The following is a 20,111-nucleotide window of genomic DNA, read 5'->3' on the forward strand; positions in this document are numbered from 1 at the left end:
CTCTTCCTGCTTCAGAGTCACTTGTATCCTCATGGATTAGCTGCCTTCACTGAGGCGGCCCAAGGACAGGGAGAGGGACTCTCGCTTGTTCACTGTCAGCTTTCCAGGACCAGCCCGGGCCTGGTGTGGAGCAGGTGCCCAGTCAGTGTTTGTTGAGTGACTTGAATGGAGAAACATAACGCAGCGTAGTCAGTAGAAGCTGAAGACATCTGTGTTGCACGCTGCTGTCAGGCAAGGACCAAGTTGGAGGCCTTAGCTATCCAGAAGTAGATTCTCAGCAAGTATTGGATTTTAGTATTTTGTTTATTGTTTTTTTAAATTTAAGCTTTTCTGAATCATGTTGTAAAGACAGCTCTGGGCACAGTCCTGAAGAGTTGGTGTTGATGTCAGGGACCCATTCTCTTTCTCTTGGGCATTTCCCCCTGCCCCGACCCCCACAACTGACCAGTGTCTCCAGCCTGTTCTTATGCCGTGACCCCTCTGCTCTTCTCCCTGGAGGTGCCCTCCCAATTTTGTTTTTTTTTTTTTTTTTAGACAGGGTGTCATTCTGTTGCTGGAGTGCAGTTGCTGGTGCTGGTGTTGCTGGTGTCACTGCTGGAGTGCAGTGGTGCGTGATCTTAGCTCACTGCAGCCTTGACTTCCTGGGCTCAGGTGATCTTCCCACCTCAGCCTCCTGAGTAGCTGGGACTACAGGAGCACACCACCATGCCTGGTTAATTTTTATATTTTTTATAGAGACGGGGTTTCACCATGTTGCCCGTGCTGGTCTTGAACTCCTGGACTCAAACGATCTGCCTACCTTGGCCTCCCGAAGTGCTGGGATTATAGGCCTGAGCCACCACGCCCAACCCCAGTTCTCGTGTTAGACCTTAGTTTACCTGCCTCGCCTGCCATGGGTGTCCTCGGGTTCCCCTTACGAGTGGTGGCATTGCAGTTGCATCTCCCTGTGCCTATGCTGAAAAGGGGAGCTTTGGCCACAATTCTGAGGGCTGTTTTTGGGGAGGGCATGGGGAGGTCTTTTTGGTTGGGGGTCTTCTCCAGGGCACAGCCTCTTGGGGCATCTCTCTGCCGGCCCCTCCCTGGCCTGCCCCGGAGTATCTTGTCCCTTGTGCACATTGTTCCACTTTCACCTGTGTGCGGCCTCTCCTGTCGTGGGTTAGAGTCTGTGACCCTTCATCAGTGTTTGCTCATGCCCTCTTCCATCTGAGAGCCCCGGCTGTGTGTTTGTAGGATCAGCAGGATGTGTACCCATTGACCAGAACACCCAACTAATGGCCCCTGCCTTGCTCACTACTAACCAGTTAGTCCTCCTCAAGTTTGGGGGCGATGAAATCTGTCATTTTCATGTGAAGCATGCTGAAGTGTGTTGTTCTGTGGTGATTTACGCTACAAACTTGTCATTCATGGTGGGACAAGTGGACTTGGACTTCTTCTTCTTATTATTATTGAGATGGAGTCTCACTCTGTCGCCTAGGCTGGTGTGCAGTGGCACGATCTCGGCTCACTGCAACCTCCGCCTCCTGGGTTCAAGTGATTCTTCTGCCTCAGCCTCCTGGGTAGCTGGGACTACAGGCGTGCACCATCACACCCAGCTAATTCTTGTATTTTTAGTAGAGACGAGGTTTCACCATGTTGGCCAGGATGGTCTCCATCTCTTGACCTTGTGATCTGCCTGCCTCGGCCTCTCAAAGTGCTGAGATTACAGGCCTGAGCCACCGTGCCCAGCCGGACTTGGACTTATTTAAAGGTTGAATGAATGAGGCTGGTCAGCCATCTCGAGCCTTCCCTTCCATGACGTCCCGGCCTTCCTGGGACACAATGGGGTCAGGGAGGGGGCCCTTCCTTTCCTCCCTTCCATCTTTGTGGAGATACCACGTACATACCACACCGTTCGCCCATTTAAAGTGCTTGGTGTTTTTAGTATATTCACAGTTAGGCAGTCATTACTACAGTCAGTTTTAGAAAAATTTCATCACCACAGAGAGCAACGCTGTACCTGTTAGCATTCACTTCCCATTCTCTCCTCCCCACCCTTGGCAACCATGGGGCTGCTATCTGGCTTCAGGGATTTGCCTGTTCTGGATGTTGTATGTCGGTGGAATCATACAGTATGCGGCCTTTTGCGTCTCTCAGCTTCATGTTGTCAGGATTCACCCATGCTGTGTTGCGTACCAAGACTTCATTCCCTTTATGACCTAATATTACTCCATTGTGTGGTTAGGCCACGTTGTATTGACCCATTCATCAGCTGGTGGACATTTGCCTTCATTCTTTGGCTGTTATGGTTAATGCTGTACAAGGTTTTGGTGTGGATGTGTATTTTCATTTCTCTTGGGTATCTACCTCCGAGTGGAATTGATGGGTCATGCGATAACTCCATGTAACCTTCTGAGGACCTGCCAAACTGTTTTCCACAGCAGCTGCCCATTTTTAATTTCCCGCTAGCAGTGTGTGAGGTCCCGGTCTCTCTGCATCCTCACCATCACGCTTTAGCGTCTTTTTCATTTCTGCCATTCTGCTGGGTGTGAAGTGGTATCCGATGGTGGTTTTGATTTGTGTTTCTCTGATCGCTAATGATACTGAGCTTACTTTTTGAAAGATTTCTGTTTACAGTGTCAAAAGAATGGGCAGACTTAGAGTTATCAGCACTGTGCCCCCAGGAGTCCTCCATGTTTTGACCCTTCTGGAGAGTAAGGCGGTGCTCCAGCAGTGTGCCCGTGTCCAGGCCACGCACACCTCACCTTCACAGAGCCAGAGCGATCTTTAAAAAACTAGAAAGCGTTTCAGACATTCAGAAGGGGCACACAGGCTGATGTAATACAGAACACACCGTATCTCCATCCAGCATGGGAAAGAGGACAGCGCACACACGCAGTTGATGCCGCTGTGGGGTCTTTGCCTGAACTCAGCTGCTCCCTCCACCCATTCTGAGTTTTGTGTTTCCATTCCCATGTGTGCAGGAGCAGTTTTTTTTTTACCACTCATGTGTATCAAAAGTGATATATAGTATCATTTCGCATTTAAAAAATTTTTTTAAAGGATGCCACACTGTCAACTTGCTCTCCTCTTCAGTGTTCTGTTGATGACATTTATTTGGATTGGTTCTGGTGGTTCTAGTTCATTCACATCTGCTATGGTTAGTATTCCATTATATGTATGTATTCTGGCTTATGCATTATTCAGTCAATGGGCATCTAGGTTTATCTCAAAAAAATTTTTTTTATCTTTTTTAGCATTATAGACATTGCTGAGCTCATCTCCTGTGTGCTTGTGCAAGGGTTTTCTAGGTCGTCTATCAAGAAGTGGAATTACGTCATATGCATCTGCTTTTCATAAGGAATCACTAGGGTTCTCTTTAATAAAAAACAGTAGATTACTGCAGTGTTTCAAAGCAGTTTAATTCATTAAAAAGTTTATTGACTAATATCCTTTTTTTTGTATACAAAGTCTTGCTTTGTTGCCCAGGCTGGAGTGCAGTGGTGCGATCACAGCTCACTGCAACCTCAATCTCCTGGGCTCATGTGATCCATCTACTTTAGCCTTGTGAGTGGCAGGGGCTCCAGGTACATGCCACTGTGCCTGGCTAAGTTATTTTTTTGGTAGAGATGGGGTCTCACTATGTTGCCCAGGCTAGTCTTGAACTCCTGGTCTCAAGTGATCCGCCTGCCTGGTCTCAAGTGATCCGCCAGCCTCCCAAAGTGCTGGGATTACAGGTGTGAGCCACCATACCTGGCTGGTTAATATACTTTTTTAAAGACAGATTTCATTATCTGAATTGAGGTAGGTGGGTATGTTGCCACATATTCTTTTAAAATATCTTTAGTTGTAGTCTGCTTTTCTTTTTAGCTATGCAAAATCAAATAAAAGTGCAATTTTGATTAGATAAAATGGGGTTCCTTTAGTCTCAGTTGAACTTTGTTGGAACATTTTTTGTTTAGTAAACAAAAATGGTTTGCCTATGAAGAATTTATGAATTTCCGGCTGTCCCGGGAGGAAAAGCCTGTGGCCTGTGATAATGTTGCAGAGACTTTTTTTTTAAAAAGGACATGCAAATAGTGGCCAGTAGGCCAAGAAGCATGCTGGTTTTGAGCAATAGAGATACATTGGGAAATGATAGGAAGAATGTAAACGTTCATATACAGAGAGATTGATAATATTGATAAACGCTATTTGTAGGTCATGTCCCAGTATTCAGATTTCTGTGATATACGGTTATCTCATTTCATACATGTTCTTATTCCCATTTCCAGGATGAGAAAACGAAAACTCAGAGTACTTACTTGGTTAAAACTTTACCAGCTAGTAAGTGTTGGAGCTGGGCCTTGAACCCGAGCCTTTGATTTTTAAACCTGAAAGCTTTCTACCAATGTCAGAGAGACATCCAAGACATTTCAGGAAAAGGACATGACAGATAGATTGTGCTTGATCTAAGCAGGCTGTATCTTTTTCCCACCCCCTGGCATAGAGCAAGCATTTGATTCTGCTCATAGGGTTTGTGGGTCAGAAATTCACATGGGGCACAGTGGGATGTCTTGTCTCTTCTCCATGATGTCTGGGGCCTCACTAGGAAGACTCGAGGGCTGGGGCTGGAATTATAAGAGGGCTGATTCACTGACTTGTCTAGCAGTGATGCAGGCTGTCCACTGGGCCTTCAGCTAGTGCTGTGGGTTGTAATGTGTACATATGGGAGATCCTTGTGGCTAATTTTGGCATCTTCAGAGAATGGGTAGCTGGGTTCCAAGAGCGGGAACCCAAGAGGACCAGGTAAAAGCTGTATTGACTTTAAAACATTATAACATCTTCCCTGAGATACAGATAGAACACAATTCACCCACAATAGCCTTCACCCATTTAAAGTATATAATGCAGTGGTTTTTTTAGTGTCTTCAAAGTGTTGTGTAACTATCACCACAATCAATTTTAGAGCATGTTTATTGCCTCTAGAAAACCTCGTGTGTCCTTTAACTATCACCCCTGCCTTCCTCCCTGTTCTAGTCCCCAAGTAACCACTAATCTACGTTCTCTGTATATAGAATTGTCTATTCTAGGGATTTCAAATAAATGGAATAATATAATGTGCATTTCTTTGGTAATTATCTTCTTTCACTGAGCATAATATTTTCAAGATTGATCTACGTTGTAGCTTGTATCACTACTTTTGTTTTGAGACAAGGTCCTGCTCTGTTGCCCAGGCTAGAGAGTGCAGTTTTGCCAACATGGCTCACTGCAGCCTTGATCTCAACCTCCTGGGCTCAAGTGATTCTCCTGCTTCAGCCTGCCATGTAGCTGGGACCACAGACATGCATCATCATGCCTGGTTAATTTTTTGATTTTTTGTAGAGATCAAGGTCTCACTTTGTTGCCCAGACTGGTCTTTAACTCCTGGGCTCAAGTTATTCTCCCCACCTTGGCCTCCCAAAGTGCTGGATTACAGGCATGAGCCACCTCTCATCCTTGTCTTTTTCCTGAGCTTAGGGGCAAAATATTCAGCCTTTCACCATTAAGTGTGATGTTAACTATGAGTTTTTTGTAGATATCCTTTATCAGGATGAAGATTACCTTTAATTCCTAGTTTGTTGATAATTTTTATAATGAATGAGTATTGAATTTTATCATATGCTTTTTCTGCATCTATTTAGATGATCATGTGGTTTTTGTCCTTTATGCTATTAATATAGTGTATTGCACTAATTGATTTTTGGTTATTAAACCAACCTTGCATTTCTTGGATAAATTCCACTTGATTATGATGCGTAATCCCTTTTTATGTGTTGTTGGATTTGGTTTGCTAGTATTTTGGGTTTTTACGTGTATATTCATAAGAGATACTGGTTTGTAGTTTTCTTTCTTTGTGATATCTTTGCTTGATTTTGGTATCACGGTAGTACTTGCCTCATAGAATGAGTTGGGAAATATTACCTCCTTTTCTAGGTTTTGGAAGGATTTATGAAGAATTGGTATTAATTCTTCTTTATCTATTTGGTAGAATTTACCAGTGAATCCCTCTGGGCTTGGACTTTTCTTTGTGCGTAGTGTTTTGATTACTAATTTAGTCTCTTTATTTTTATTTTTTATTTTTTTGAGACAGGATCTTGCTCTGTTGCCCACACTTAAGCGCAGTAGTGCCGTCATAGGTCACTGTAACCTCAAATTCCTGGGCTCAAGTGATCCTCCCACGTCAGCCTTCTGAGTAGCTGGGACTACAGGTGTGTGCCACCATGCCCACTAGTTTTTTGGTTTTTAATAGATGAGGTCTTGCTTTGTTGGCCAGGCTGGTCTTGAACTCCTGGGGTTCAAGTGATCCTCCCACCTTGGCTTCCCAAAGTGCTTGATTACAAACGTGAGCCAGTGTGCCCGGCCTCTAATTCAGCCTCTTTCCATGTTATGTATCTAGTCATATTTCCTCCTGCTCCTTGAGTAAGTTTCAGTTGTGTGTATCTTTCTGGGAATTTGCGCATTGTATCTAATTAATTTTATTTGTTGGTGTACAGTTGTTCATAATATTCTCATAATTCTTTTTATTTCTGTAAGGTTGATAATAATGTCTTTTCCATCATGTCTGACTTTAGTAATTTAAGTCTTCTCTTTTTTCTTTTAGTCAGTCTAGCCAAAGGTTTGTCAATTTTATTCATCTACTCAGAGAACCATCTCTTGGTTTTGTTCATTTTCCTTATATTTAAGGAAACAACCAGACCAGCAGCTTTCTGTGTCTCCGTGGAGTCCTGCTATGGTTCTGGGAGTTGCCTCTCCTCTCTTTCTGTCGAGTGGCCCGGCCAGTGCATGTGGCGGCTCCTGCGTCTCCCCTTCACCAGAGTAGCTCTGCCTTTACCTGTTTGGCATTTCCATGTAACATTTCTTTTGAAAAGTTGGTTTACTGCTAAAGTACTGGCTTTCATACAGTGAAACCCCACAGAACAAAACTGGAGCTGCGTGCATTAACATTGATACATAAAGAACAATCTTGAGGGAACATCTAGTTGCAAAGGTACATATGTATGAAATGATAACAGTGTAAACTTTGCAAATGTGCAGAATAATACTGTATGTTGCCCAGAGATCCACGTCTCTTCCATAATAGTATAAACTCTTACATGGAAATGGAAAATGTCAAATACAGGTTGGTAGCCACCTCAGAGGAGGCAGGTAGAGAACCAGAATGGGGAGGGTTTCAACTCTATTATATGACAAAATGTTGGAATTTGGGGGAAGTGAATCTCTGGGTGGTGTCTGTGTGGTTATTCCTTATGTCCTATATGTCACTAAGCTGGCTGCAGCCTGCCAGGGGTAGGTGACTTTGGGCAGGCTACTTTTTTTTTTTTTTTTTTTTTTGGGACGGAGTCTTACTCTGTCACCCAGGTTGGAGTGCAGGGGCGTGATCTCGGCTCACTGCAAGCTCTGCCTCCCGGGTTCACACCATTCTCTTGCCTCAGCCTCCTAAGTAGCTGGGACTATAGGCGTCCGCCACCACGACCGGGTAATTTTTTGTATTTTTAGTAGAGACGGGGTTTCACTGTGTTAGCCAGGACGGTCTCGATCTCCAGACCTCGTGATCCACCCGCCTCGGCCTCCCAAAGTGCTGGGATTACAGGCGTGAGCCACCACGCCCGGCCAGGCAGGCTACTTTCTTAAGCTTTCTGTCCCTCAGTTTTTCCACCTTTTGAATGGGAAGAGTAATGATATCTGCCTTATTGGGTTGCAAAGATTAAAGGACTTAACACATTGAGAGTTTAAAATAATGCTCATCTCTGTTAGCTACTACTATTATTCTCTATGCTTTATTGCTTGCAGTATTGATAGTAAAAAAGAAACGGCATGTTGAGCAAATCTGGAGGCTGTTGAAAGTGGTTGGAGCTGAGCAGTGGCACGTGGCATGGTGGTCACAGGGCTGTTCCTTCACTTTTCTGTGTGTTTCATTCCTTTGGTAAAAGTATCCAGCACCAGCCCCACTGGGACCCGCCTGTGGTTCATGCCACAGGGCGTCTGTGTCCTCAGCACCCAGGACAGTGCCTGCCTCGTAGGTCCTTCCTGGTTGAGAGGAGGGATCAGCGCTTTGCTTTCAGGTCATCTTCAGTTTGAAACTGAAACTCACTCTGATGTATGCAGAAATAAATGTGATGTTTTCATCTGGATGCTGACTTTAGAATTTTCTTCTGAAATCATATATTTCTCCTTATTGGCTTTTTTTTGGGAAGGAGAAGTCATAACAAACCCTTCAAGGGGCCAGACTCTTTTGAATTCCTTTCTCTTCTCTGGGTTTCCAATCTTCCTCTGTGGAGTGAGGGGTGGGACTGGGCTCCTGGGCCTTTGAAGGAAGGCCGGGTGTGGGCTCATGTTTCTGCTTGCTGTGGTGACAGGCCCTTGGCTGCCACTTTGATGTCCCACTGATTCCACTGCTCCTGGCCTTCAGATCAGGTACGTGCTGTTTTGTTTGTCTCAACCTTCTGCCAGCCACTTTTCCTAGTTCTAAGTGTGATTTTTTTTCTTAAGGAATCTTCCTTCTTTTCTTTTTTTTTTTTTTTTGAGACAGAGTCTCGCTGTCGCCTAGGCTGGAGTGCAGTGGCGCAATCTCGGCTCACTACAAGCTCTGCCTCCTGGGTTCACGCCATTCTCCTGCCTCAGCTTCCCAAGTAGCTGGGATTACAGGCACGTGCCACCAAGCCCGGCTAATTTTTTGTATTTTTCATAGAGACGGGGTTTCACTGTGTTATCCAGGATGGTCTCGATCTCCTGACCTCGTGATCCGCCCGCCTCGGCCTCCCGATAAGACTGGGTTTCTGTGCTCCTGTGACATGCTCTTGTAGGAATCATCATAGAACAGTCAAAATGCCAGTTGAAGTTTTGCTTTTGTGAGTAAACTGTAAGGGCCGGAATAGTTTGGATGTGTTGTGCTTACCTTTGCCTCCCCAGTGCCCTGTCCGAGAGTCAGTATCAAAAAAATGTTTGTCAAGTTTTGCTGAAAAATCTTAGAATATAAAAGTGAACATTTGGTATAATTAATATGTTGTGCTGCAGGCATAGGAATGGGATACTGAATAGAAACTGAGTGGGAAACTGAAAAATGACCCAATGTAATATTTTAACGTTAAAGATGATGTTCTCAAAGCAGTGGGTGAAAGGAGAGGTTACTGAATAAATGACATTTGAACCCTTCTTTATTTTTTTTTAAAGTTTCCTACTAAACACTATATAGCAAAATAAAATAAATTCTAGGTGGATTGAAAACTTAAGGGTAGGAACGAGCCCTCTAGAAGGATTGAACTAGCACACGGCAATGTTTATGCACTCTCAGAAGGGTCAGGCCTTTCCAAGTGTCGTCCCCAAAGTGGAGTCACGAGGAAAGGACACAAGAGTGGCTCAGCCTCCCAGACCAAGGAAAACAGATTGGCCACCGCCATTGTCTTTCTGTGACTGCTCTAGCAAATCATCACAAACTTACTGGCTTACAGCAAACATGGTATCCTAGAGTTCTAGAATTTGCAAGTCTGATGTGGGTCTCGCTGGGCTAACACCAAGGTGTTGGCGGGGCTGGTTCCTTCTGGAAGCTCCAGGGGAGAGCGTTTTCCCTGCTCTCTCCAGCTCCAGGAAGCCGCCCACGTTCCTTGGCATACAGCCCCCTTTCTCCACGTACAGAGTCAGCCATGTTGCATTTGTGTGACCTTCCGCGGTCTCTTCTGCTCTGACCACAGCCAGGAAGGTTCTCTGCTTTTGAGTACTCATGATTAGATTGTGCCCATCCGGATTGCCCAGGATGGTCTCCCACCTCATTCGTATTCTTAATTGCATCTGCAAAGTCCCCTTTGCCATGTAAGGTGACGTAGTCACAGGTTCTGGGCATTAGGATGTGGACGTCTTGGGTGGGGGCCGTTATTCTGCTGACCACACCACCAGAACGACTAAGAAGGAATCCTCTGTTTACAAGGTTTTTTTTTACAAAGCAGTGAGAAAGTGGTGAGCACCTCATTAGAAAATGGACAAAGGGTATGAGCAGACAATTTACAAAAAGAAGAGGTACAAATGAACAAAATAAAAAAAAAAAGTTTTACCTTACTAATGAATGAAGAGGCACATAGCCGACACGGAGACCACTGTTCTCTTGTTGAATGAGCAGTGGTGTGTGGTGTTGACACTGCTGGTGGGATATGAACCACGGCTCTTCAGCAGTGTGGACCAGTGGCCTTTTTAATGTGTGCTTTATGTCCCAAGCTTTCCATTTCTAGGAGTTTATCCCCAAGAGGTTATCATAGTTGTGTGCAAATATTTGTCTCCAAATATCTTTATTACTTTTTTTGTAATCACTATATTATTTTATTTTTTAGAGACAGGGTCTTACTCTGTAACCCAGATTGGAGTGCAGTGGTGCATTCTTGGCTCACTGCAACCTCCACCTCCCAGGCTCAAGCGATCATCCGGCCATTTTTTTGTAATCACTTATTTTATTTTTTTGAGACAGGGTCTCACTGTGTAACCCAGGTTGGAGTTCAGTGGTGCAATCTTGGCTCACTGCAACCTCAGCCTCCCAAGTAGCTGGGACCACAGGCTTATGTCACCACGCCCAGCCAATTTTTTTGTATTTTTTTGTGCAGACGTGGTTTCGCCATGTTGCCCAGGCTGGTCCTAAACTCCTGAGCTCAAGCGATCCGCCCACCTCGGCCTCCCAACATTGCCAGTATTGCCTTCAACAAACAGAGATTCGTTTATTTCCTGTGTCTGGTAGTCTGTGGTGAGCAGCGCAGGGTTGGGCAGCAGCTCAAAGCTGTCACAGCCCCATGCTGTTTCCTGCCTGTCTGCCCTGCTGCCCTTCATGGTGGCATCTTCACTCACGCACGATGGCTGAGGCCTCACCTCTGTGTTCCAGGTGGAAAAAAGGGAAAGAAGCTGGGGGCCAAAGGGGTGCTAGCTAAGCCTGTTTTTTTTTTTTTTTTTCCAGAAAAGTAAAAACCAGCATTTATTTCTTGCCGGCTATGAAAAATAAATGTGTGTCACAGGGCCAGCCGTGGCTGACGTCAGCCAAAGGAGCAAAGGCTTCTGGGTAGAGGTTGATGAGTCAACCAACAGTGTCTGCCACGTGGGGTATTTCATTTCCATCAGTTTTCCAAATTTACTCTGATGCATGTAAGACTTTTATAGTAAAACTGTTAAGTCTTTTTCTTTTTGAGATGGAGTCTTGCTCTGTCACCCAGGCTGCAGTGCAGTGGCACGATCTCGGCTGACTGCAACCTCCGCCTCCAGGGTTCAAGCCATTCTTCTGCCTCAGCCTTCCCGGTAGCTAGGATTACAGGCATGTACCACCATGCCCAGCTAATTTTTGTATTTTTAGTAGAGACAGGGTTTCACCATGTTTGCCAGGCTGGTCTCCAACTCCTGACTTCAGGTGATCCGCCCGCCTTGGCCTCCCAAAGTGCTGGGATTACAGGCGTGAGCTACCGTGCCAAGCCTGTTCAATCTTTTAAAAAATTATATTTATCTTTTGCAATTCTGCATTCAATTTCAGACAAAATGATGGCAGGTGAGAATTCCCAGGTGGGCGTTTCTTCGAGTTTTTAGTCTGTGGGCAGAGGCCTCAGTTCCTTCATTGCACTCCCAGACACCCTCATCACCGTGTAGATGCCCGAGGGTCTGTGGTGGTGCTTGTCGGGCTGAGGTCCATTCTCAGGGATGGGCTGAATGCCCTGCTTGTGTGGGGTGTGGGGTGTGGGCTTGTATGGTGCCACTCATCCCTTCTGAACTGGGCCCTCAGGACCCCGGGTGGCTGCAGGGGGGCCTGCGACAGCCCATGAGGAGCTGCTTCCTTCAGTCCTGTGGGTTCCTGGGAGCCCACCTTTCGGCTGAGCTGGTGGAGGGCTCTTGGGAAGGCAGGAGAGAGGCTCACTGGTTTTCCTTTTCTTTTCCATCAGCATCCAGCACGTGTATGGTGCCCAGCACCCCCCCTTTGATCCACTGTTACATGGCACGTAAGTGACGTTCCAACCTCACTTGGCGTCTCGGCTCTGATATGGGAGGGCTGTGGCAACCCCGGTCTTCCTGCTTCCTTCCTGCTCCCAGGCATTCCTCAGGGAGGAGACTGGTTTCTCATTCAGCCACACTGATCAAGCAGTCGCTTTGTGTGAGATACTGTGCACCCCGTGCTGCGCATCCCGGTGAAGACGGCGGATGTGGGAGCCACAGCCTGATGTGGGGAGGTGGGGGAGCCCTGGGGAGAGCCAGGAGCTGGCATCCTTTAGCCATGGGCAGCCTGGCTGCAGGCCATCCATGCTGGCTTGTCCTTTCCCCTCCTCCTTCCCGCATTCTCCACCAGCTGCTGGAGCCCGGCCCTGGCCTGTCCTGGCCCCTCCACAGCAGGCGGGAGCGCAGAGTGTGGGGCTTGTGCTGGGCTGTTGTGACCCTGCAGGACTGCACCTGTCTGACAAGTTTCTCACGTGAGGTGGGGCCGATGTTGTGTGTTGTCCTATTTTGGGGGAATCTTGTTTAAATGATCATGTCTTCAAATCCATATACCACAGGCCTGCACCCTGCACAGGCGCTCCTGGCCCACACCCCTCACTGCTGGGCAGGAGCCTTACTGGGATTCGGGGAAGGTGCCCCAGGCACTGGCCAGAGTGAGCTGGGGTGGTCCTGCAGGGTATCACCATGTGGCCCTGCGCCTCCTCCCAGGTGACCTTCCTGGAGCCCCCTCCCCCTCCTGCCACTGAGTCCTCATGGGCTTCGCCTGCTCTTCTTTTGGCTGTCTCTGTGAATTGTGTTTGCTTTTTCACTCACTATTGCTAGATCAAAGCTGAACACTTCTATGCCTGTCTTTTCACCTGGGAATTCTTTCCTGGCTGGTTTTGGGTGAAGCCTTCGAGCATGTACGAGTAAAGACTGCCTTTGCATTGCAGTTTGCTCAGGTCCACGGCCAAGATGCCGACCACACCAGTGAAGGCCAAGAGGGTCAGCACCTTCCAGGAGTTTGAGAGCAATACCAGCGATGCCTGGGACGCTGGGGAGGACGACGATGAGCTCCTGGCCATGGCGGCGGAGAGCCTGAACTCCGAGGTGGTCATGGAGACGGCCAACCGTGTGCTGCGTAACCACAGCCAGCGGCAGGGGCGGCCCACGCTGCAGGAGGGGCCAGGGCTTCAGCAGAAGCCCAGGCCCGAGGCAGAGCCGCCCTCACCCCCCAGCGGCGACCTCCGGCTGGTGAAGTCGGTCAGTGAGAGCCACACGTCCTGTCCTGCAGGTACGATGGGAGGACTGAAGAGATGGTCTGGGTTTCTGGCCAAGCTAAGAAAGTGGCCAGAACACACTCACTGTGGGAGAATCAGTGGGTTCCCATCCTCATTTGCAGCAGGCCCCCTGGCCCACGAGAGCCCTTATGGTTCTCTTCCAAGGGTAGGGGAGTGGCCTGCGCTCTTTCCTAGGGCCCCCAAGTGCTTTCTTCTGTCCTAGCTACGTGCGTGTCTCCTCCTAGTGGAGTGGAGGCTTCTGGCCTAGCTACGTGCATGTCTTCTCCGAGTGGAGTGGAGGCACCAGGCTGTTGTGGGCTGGCCGTGAGAGGGCCACGGGGGAGCAAGCGCCTGGGGACACTGTCTCCCTCCTAACTCCACCAGCTTGTGATGGTTCCATGGGTGACATTGCCAGCCGAGGGGTCAGGCCTCTGCATGTTTAGGGGCTGGCCCTCTAGGCAGCTTACAGGATTCCTGCCAGGTGTGCGTACACGTGGGCTCAGGTCTGTAGGGGCTGGGAGTCTGACTTTTGGGTCGGCCACGTTTGCACTCTGACCCCCTCGGGTGGGGTCGTGTCTGGTGCCATGTGCATGGCACTGGTGTGCAGCAGCTGTTCTTGAGGCTGTTTCTGTGGCTGCTGCTCTTTATGTGTTGCAGGCCATCACGTCTGTGATGGAAAAGCTGCATGGTTGTGCGATGAACCCACTGTGGGCCGCGGGTACTGTTTTCAGAGCTTGGGAGACCCCACTGGACAGACTGAGGTACATCTGTGCCCTGCGGCAAGTCCATTCTGGTGAGAGGGACAGATGCAGCACTGCCCACAGTCAGCAAGGGGGCACAGAGCGTGCTGGGAGGCAGCAGGTGCCACGGTCAAGAGAGGCAGAGAATGGGGTGGGAACGCGGTGGCCCTGAGAGCAGTGGGGAGCAGGTGTCATCTGAAACGGGGAGGTCAGGGTGTCTTCGTGTCAGTGGTGCTGTTGGGAGGCAGGGGGTGAGGGGCAGGGGCGAAGTCCAGCTGGATTGGCCACTGGCCCTCATAGGTACCTCCCTCCAAGGTCTTCTGGGGGCTAGGGTGCTCTCCCCACATTTCCAGCTGAGAAGATGGAGATTGTTAGGGTGGCCTGATTTTACCCTGGAGAACTAGGTTTCATACCTAGGTCTAGTTTTTAAAACCACTTTCTAGGAATTGGTTAACTTCTAAAATGTTACAGCTCTCATTAGTTGAGAATGCTGTGCGTGATTTCATTTGATCAGTTTTCTTTTTGGAGTGTAATAAATTTTAAAGTCTTTGAACTCGTAACTGGAAATCTGGTGATGGCCTTTGCGGGAGGCTTGGAAACCTGGTGACTGACTGAAGCATGCACTGACCGCCTTCTGCAGGCCCAGTCCTGGGCAGCGCCCTTCAGCCTGTGGCAGTCGGAGTTGGCAGGATCCCTGGCTTCATCTGCTCATGGGTGGTGCTGACATTGAAGCTCTGTGAGCCTCTCAGCACCGTGCCCCCTACCCCCAAGATGCAGGGCACTGTCAGGCTGAGAGTGGCCAGGACCGCAGGACCACACGGTGTGTGGCTGGGGGATCTGACAAGAGGCAGGCTCAGGCTGTGACCAGCTGGGGTCGGGGAGCTATGAGATGTCACCCTGGGATGTCACCCTGGGATGGCCTCATCCTGGAAGAGCCAAGCAAAGGATGCTGCAGGCAGCTTGCGCTGGGAGAAGGGGGCCCATGACCTCATTGCCTTGTGCTCCCACTTGCCTGCCTTGGAGTTGGCCACCTTTCCTGTGTTTGCTTTCTGGGCAAGCTTTTTTTGAGTACTTCAGTATAGTGACAATGATACCATATATTGATCATTTACTGTGTGGCAGGTACAGTATCAAGTCCCTGTGATACTAAACTCATTAAGCTTTGCAGCAGCACTAGGACATGGACTTATGGGCTCTGCTCAGGAGTGAGCGGCCCCTTACGTGTCCTGATGAAACCACATCAGTCATTTCTGAAGATCACAGGGAAGTCCAGCTGAGCACCTTTAATTCTGGGACTCAGTGCACAGCTGCTCTTCCTGCTGAATATTCACTCTGAGGAACTGTAAGTGCTGCTGAAGCAGGAGCCTCTGAAGGAGGGAGAGGGGGCACTGTCACCCATGGTCCTCCCCTCTGCTCAGGTGCTGGTTCTCAGCCCTGTCTGCAGTAAGGCCGGCAGCGGAAACTCTGGAGCCAGACGCCCCGGGCTGGAGCCCCAGCCCACTGCTTGGTGTGCGGCTGCTACAAAATAGGAATCACTGCAAGGGCACTGAGGCTGGTGGGAGGAGATCCTCCTGGGGGTTGGGGGGAGTCAGGGAGAGTGGGCAGCGGGGATGGGGGAGGAGACAGGGCGGTACTCTGAAGTCTATGTCCCCACTTTAGCAGACTTTTCTGGAAATTTAACTGGGCCACATTCTGCCCAGAGGCCATAGGTTGCCTGGCTCCTGGATAGCCTGAGGGTTTCTGTGTGAATTATTTTCCCCCACTCCCAGGTTATAAGGGAAATGGGGGTGCTCTGTGGGAAGGAGGGCGCGGGGGAGTGCGGCTCCTACCTCCTTGCTCAGCGGCTGCTGGAGTGGATGTCGGCCCGTCAGCTGCAGCGTTTGCTTCGGCTCCATTTCCTGGAGTTTATTTTTCACTCTACTTTAATTTTCAGTTTTTGAAAAATGAGATAGCTAGACAGGATTTAGACCCAGGAGTTTGGAGCCTTTCCCAGCCTCTTGCTTGTTGGTCTCGGATGGCAGTGTTGAGTGATCTGAGGGCCTTAGGGTCTTCCCTTGGGCTGACCCGGTCCCGGGTTGCTGGGTGGAACGTGCTGTCTCACCACCTGCTTGGATCCCCCTGGGCCTGTCCGTCTTGGGGGTCAGTGGGGCCATGGTGGGCAGCAGCAGAGGGCGGGAGGGAGGGCGGGCAGCTTGTACTCTAGTGCCACTGCGGTCACTGCCTGTGGTGGGGTCTGGGAAGGTGCCATCCCTCACCTGTCTGGCTTCCTTTGTTTCCTTGGGATGAGGGTCCCTGTGGGACCTTCCTCCCAGGGCACTGGTGAGACCCAGGAGGGCCAGGCAGGTGGCGGGGTTGGGCACGCTCTTGAGATGGCAGGTGAGAGCCCTCGCAGCGCCCTGGTTCCTGCTGTGTCCCCACTGTTGCCTTCTGTCCTCAGCACCTCTGCAGGCTTTCTCCTTTCCCTCATGGTAACTCACGGGCTTGCCCTCCGCACTCAGGCCTGGCTGACCCGAGGGCACCGTCCTACACAGACCCTCTGGGTCATGTCACCTGGGCAGGCCCTGATCTGCCACCCCAGGCACTGGTGGGAGCCTGACCTCCACACAGCCCGAGGGGCCCTGGAGTTTTCTGGCTGTCATTGTGTTGCTTTTATGCAAGGTGGTCCATTTTGTTGGTGAATAATACTCTGCCAGTGAAGCGAGTGAATTTCAAAGGTGTCAGTTCCATGTTATTGCTCAAGAAACCAAGGTCCCCACTGCTGAGTGATGGGAAGAAGGGACCCATCAGCATTCACAAAGGGACAGTGGCACAGCAAGGAGGAACGTGTAGTCGGGAGGAGCGCCCTCACCCTCACCCCCATTCTCTCACCCCTGCAGAAAGTGCCAGCGATGCCGCCCCTCTGCAGAGGTCCCAGTCTCTCCCACACTCGGCCACCGTCACGCTGGGTGGCACATCTGACCCCAGCACTCTCAGCAGCTCAGCGCTGAGCGAAAGAGAGGCCTCCCGGCTCGACAAGTTCAAGCAGCTGCTTGCCGGCCCCAACACGGACCTTGGTAAGCACCCTGCCCTCTGGAGGACACACACAGACATTTCTTGCTGTTTCTGAAATAGATCACATCTTAAAGGATTCTATGTATGCTTATGTAATGCACACGCGTCCGTGTGTAATTTGCCTTGCAGGAAGGTGATGTTTTCATGTAATATTTTCAAGTCAGTCACTAAGGTAGTAGCAATTTGTGCTTTAGACAAGTTTTGTTAATGTTTTTCCCATGCAATTTGAAAATGTATTTTGCGTTCCTTTTTGTTTTCTTTTTTTAAAATTTGAGACAAGGTCTTACTCTGTTGCCTGGCTGGAGTGCAGTGGTGTGATCATAGCTCACTGCAACCTGGAATTCCTGGGCTCAAGCAATCCTCCTGCCTCAGCTTCCTGAGTATGTGGGACTACAGGATTGTGCCACCATGCTCACCAGATTTTTTAAACAATTTTTTCTACAGATACGGGTCTGCCTGTGTTGCCCAGGCTGGTCTTGAACTCCTAGGCTTAAGAGATCCTCCTGCCTCAGCCTCACAAAGCACTGGGCTTAAGGCGTGATCCACCACGCCTGGCCCATTCTGTTTTCCTGTTGTCCCATTTGCACTCTTTATTATTGCTGCCCTTGGTGAGCCCTTCGAGGCTGGCCAGGTGGACATCCTTGTTCTTGACAGTATTCTGAAGACAGTGGCTCATGGGGGCACAGCGCTGGTGACCATCAACTCAATCTGCTGGTTTTGTACTTTCCTACCATGGGGCTTGCAGTCATCAGAGGGTGACAGGCTGTGAGCCCTGCAAGGGGGCAGGGGTGAGGCTGGGGCAGAGGGGCAGGCCCACAGGGCAGAGCACAGTCACCAGTGTGACTCTTCCTGCGCGAGTTGCTTCCAGGCACACGCAGTGCCCATGTGGACTGCCGTGGCCAGGCTCTGTGGAACGCACTTGCTTTCAGTTCCTCTGGTGGAATTCCTGCTGAATCCACGTCCTTCCTTTCCCTATCTCATCTTTGTGGAGTGCCACTCTGGCTAGGTGTTTGCTAGACGCTGGAGCTCTCGGGAGGACCGGAATGTGGCCTTGGTCATGAGATTGCTTCATTGAGGGGACAAACCTGTATCACACAGTTATGACTGGTGTCACTGTGGCACTCTAAGAGCCAGAGGTGCAACGCCTGGCTTGGCCAGGAGGTGGCGAGTGGCGCACGCGGATGGGCCGCCAGGAGCCACGCAGGAGCCATGCAGGGGCCATATAGGAGCTTGCAGCAGCCGGGCCTTCACGCTCAAGCCCAGGGCAGGGAGAGGGTTTCCGGGCAGAAGCAGCGGTTCAAAGGGCATGGCTGAAGCTGTGTTCTCGAGGCGGGGGAGGGCTCTTGGAAGGTCTCCTGGCTAGAAGGACACAGCTCTGAGTAGAGTTCTCAGAGTGGGTGGTTGTTTCTTCCTTATGTTTGTTTTTTTTTGAAACAGCAACACTTGCATGTGTTATAACATGACACAGCACAGCAGGGTGTATGTGAAAATGAGGCCTGTCCCAGCCCCCACCTTCCCTTCCTTTCCACAGCTCGAGGTGTCTCCTTCCAGCGATGGCCCATGCATCTGTTGTTTTAAACGTTTCGTGTTGATGCAATTCAAACTTGCAGAACAGTTGGCATGAATAGTGCCAACAACTCCCATATGCTCTGTACCCAGAATCACCAATTGTTTACGTTTGCCCATTACCATTCTGCATGTGTGTGCCTGTTTTTGTGTGTATATATACATTTTTTTCCTGAACCATTTGAGAGTCAGTTGGAGATATATCCCTTTACCTCTGAAACCTTCGCTGCATATTTCCTAAGCACAAAGACATTCCCTCAGTATCATCACAGCACAGGGGTCACAATCAGGAAATTTAACGTTGACACAGTACTATTTTAACACTTGTATTATTTTCATCCACAGTCCATAGTCACATTCTGCCAGTTGTCCCAGTAATGTCCTTTCCCTCTTTTTTCTTAGTCCAGACTCCAGTGGGGACCATGCGTTCCATTTGGATGTCACGCCTCTGTCTTCTCCACTAACCTGGCGCAGCAGCTTTGCCGGTCTCTGCATTTCCATCTTGACACTTTAGCAGAGCACGGGCCAGTGATTTTGTGGGATGTCCCTTGGTTTGTGCTTGTCTGATGTTTGCCCACAATGAGATTCTGATTGATAATTTTTGGCAGGAACATCACTGAAGGGATTCGTGTTCTCCTTGGTCATCACAGCGGGGGCACGTGGTGCTGGTGGGTCCTCACGTTGAAGATGTGGACTCCGATCACTTGGTTGAGGTGGCGTCTGCCAGCTCTTTCCACTGAAGAGCTCCCCTTTTTCCTTTGGTGATGAAGTGCTCTGTAGAGAGATGCTCTGGGGTCTGTGCATTTCTACAGTGTATTTCTTTGTCCCCTTGCACGGCAAGGCAGTTGTGCACCTCACTTTTTAAGGGAATGATACATTTTCCCATGGCGTACGTGGAGAACCGCCTTAGTCTTTAGAGTGCCCTGTAACATGCCATCCTATGGATTTCCCCCGACTTGACTGCACCAGCCCCTGCGGTTGGGCAGCGGGTTATTCCTAACTTGCTATTATTACAAACAACTTGAGAACGTTTCTTCAGGCGCCTGAACCTCCTTCTGTGATGGTGACACAGAGCATCCCTAGCCATGGGTGAGGCGAGAAGGCAGTGTGGGGGATGGGTCTGTGAGTTCGCCTAGAGCACCAGGTGTGGAGGTGTCACCCACCAAGACAGGAGATAAAGGTAGATCGTGCTTACGGGAGTCTAGTCTTGTAGTTGACGTACCCATCTTGGCCACTTCCTCTTCTAGCATGCCAGTGCCCCTTCTCTGCTGGCTCTCCTGCCTCCAGGGTGGTGTGGAGATTCAGAACCACGTTGCACCTGGGAGAGTGGGTCCTGGAGCCGGGCTGCCTGTGTGGAGAGCTGGCTCCACTGGTTACTCGCCACGTGACCTTGAGCCAGCTTGGTGATGATCCTGCTCTCAGAGTTCTTGTTTGCGTGATAGACATGATGAAAGCGGTGCTCATTTTGCAGTTTAAATGAGATAGTACATATGACATGCTTAACAGAGTGCCTAGCACATACTAAACACTCAAAAATGTTAGTTATTTTTAT

The 20,111-nt window shown here is 49.4% G+C and overlaps 1 protein-coding gene across 19 annotated transcripts in view, besides 4 other annotated features; it reads left to right on the forward strand.

Moving 5' to 3' along the window:
* TBC1D22A (TBC1 domain family member 22A) overlaps positions 1–20,111 on the forward strand; it is a 413,050-nt gene that overhangs the window by 17,976 nt on the left and 374,963 nt on the right. For 15 of the 19 annotated variants that reach the window (XR_007067971.1, XR_007067970.1, NR_104292.1 and 12 more), the window contains 3 exon segments: positions 11,895–11,951; positions 12,876–13,216; positions 16,819–16,995. Coding sequence is in view for 16 of the 19 variants with exons in the window: in XM_017028742.3 (XP_016884231.1) it covers positions 11,895–11,951; positions 12,876–13,216; positions 16,819–16,995 (575 nt within the window). In the remaining 3 variants the exon portion in view is untranslated. 19 annotated transcript variants of the gene reach the window in all.
* Positions 2,738–2,904: a silencer, noted in NCBI's record as "fragment chr22:47179260-47179426 (GRCh37/hg19 assembly coordinates)". NCBI's record gives its function as "represses an EF-1alpha promoter that drives an FKBP-Casp9 reporter gene in an ReSE screen in phorbol 12-myristate 13-acetate-treated (for megakaryocytic differentiation) K562 erythroleukemia cells {active_cell/tissue: K562(+PMA)}" and the evidence as "EXISTENCE:reporter gene assay evidence [ECO:0000049][PMID:32094911]".
* Positions 7,757–7,856: an enhancer, noted in NCBI's record as "active region_19260". NCBI's record gives its function as "activates an Ori minimal core promoter by ATAC-STARR-seq in GM12878 lymphoblastoid cells {active_cell/tissue: GM12878}" and the evidence as "EXISTENCE:reporter gene assay evidence [ECO:0000049][PMID:35858748]".
* Positions 10,866–10,975: an enhancer, noted in NCBI's record as "active region_19261". NCBI's record gives its function as "activates an Ori minimal core promoter by ATAC-STARR-seq in GM12878 lymphoblastoid cells {active_cell/tissue: GM12878}" and the evidence as "EXISTENCE:reporter gene assay evidence [ECO:0000049][PMID:35858748]".
* Positions 17,692–18,192: an enhancer, noted in NCBI's record as "H3K4me1 hESC enhancer chr22:47194214-47194714 (GRCh37/hg19 assembly coordinates)". NCBI's record gives its function as "activates a minimal SCP1, AML or CMV promoter by ChIP-STARR-seq in naive H9 embryonic stem cells {active_cell/tissue: H9 hESC(naive)}" and the evidence as "EXISTENCE:reporter gene assay evidence [ECO:0000049][PMID:30033119]".

This window comes from Homo sapiens, chromosome 22, assembly GCF_000001405.40.
Source record: "Homo sapiens chromosome 22, GRCh38.p14 Primary Assembly".
In the NCBI taxonomy this organism is placed as follows: domain Eukaryota; kingdom Metazoa; phylum Chordata; class Mammalia; order Primates; family Hominidae; genus Homo; species Homo sapiens.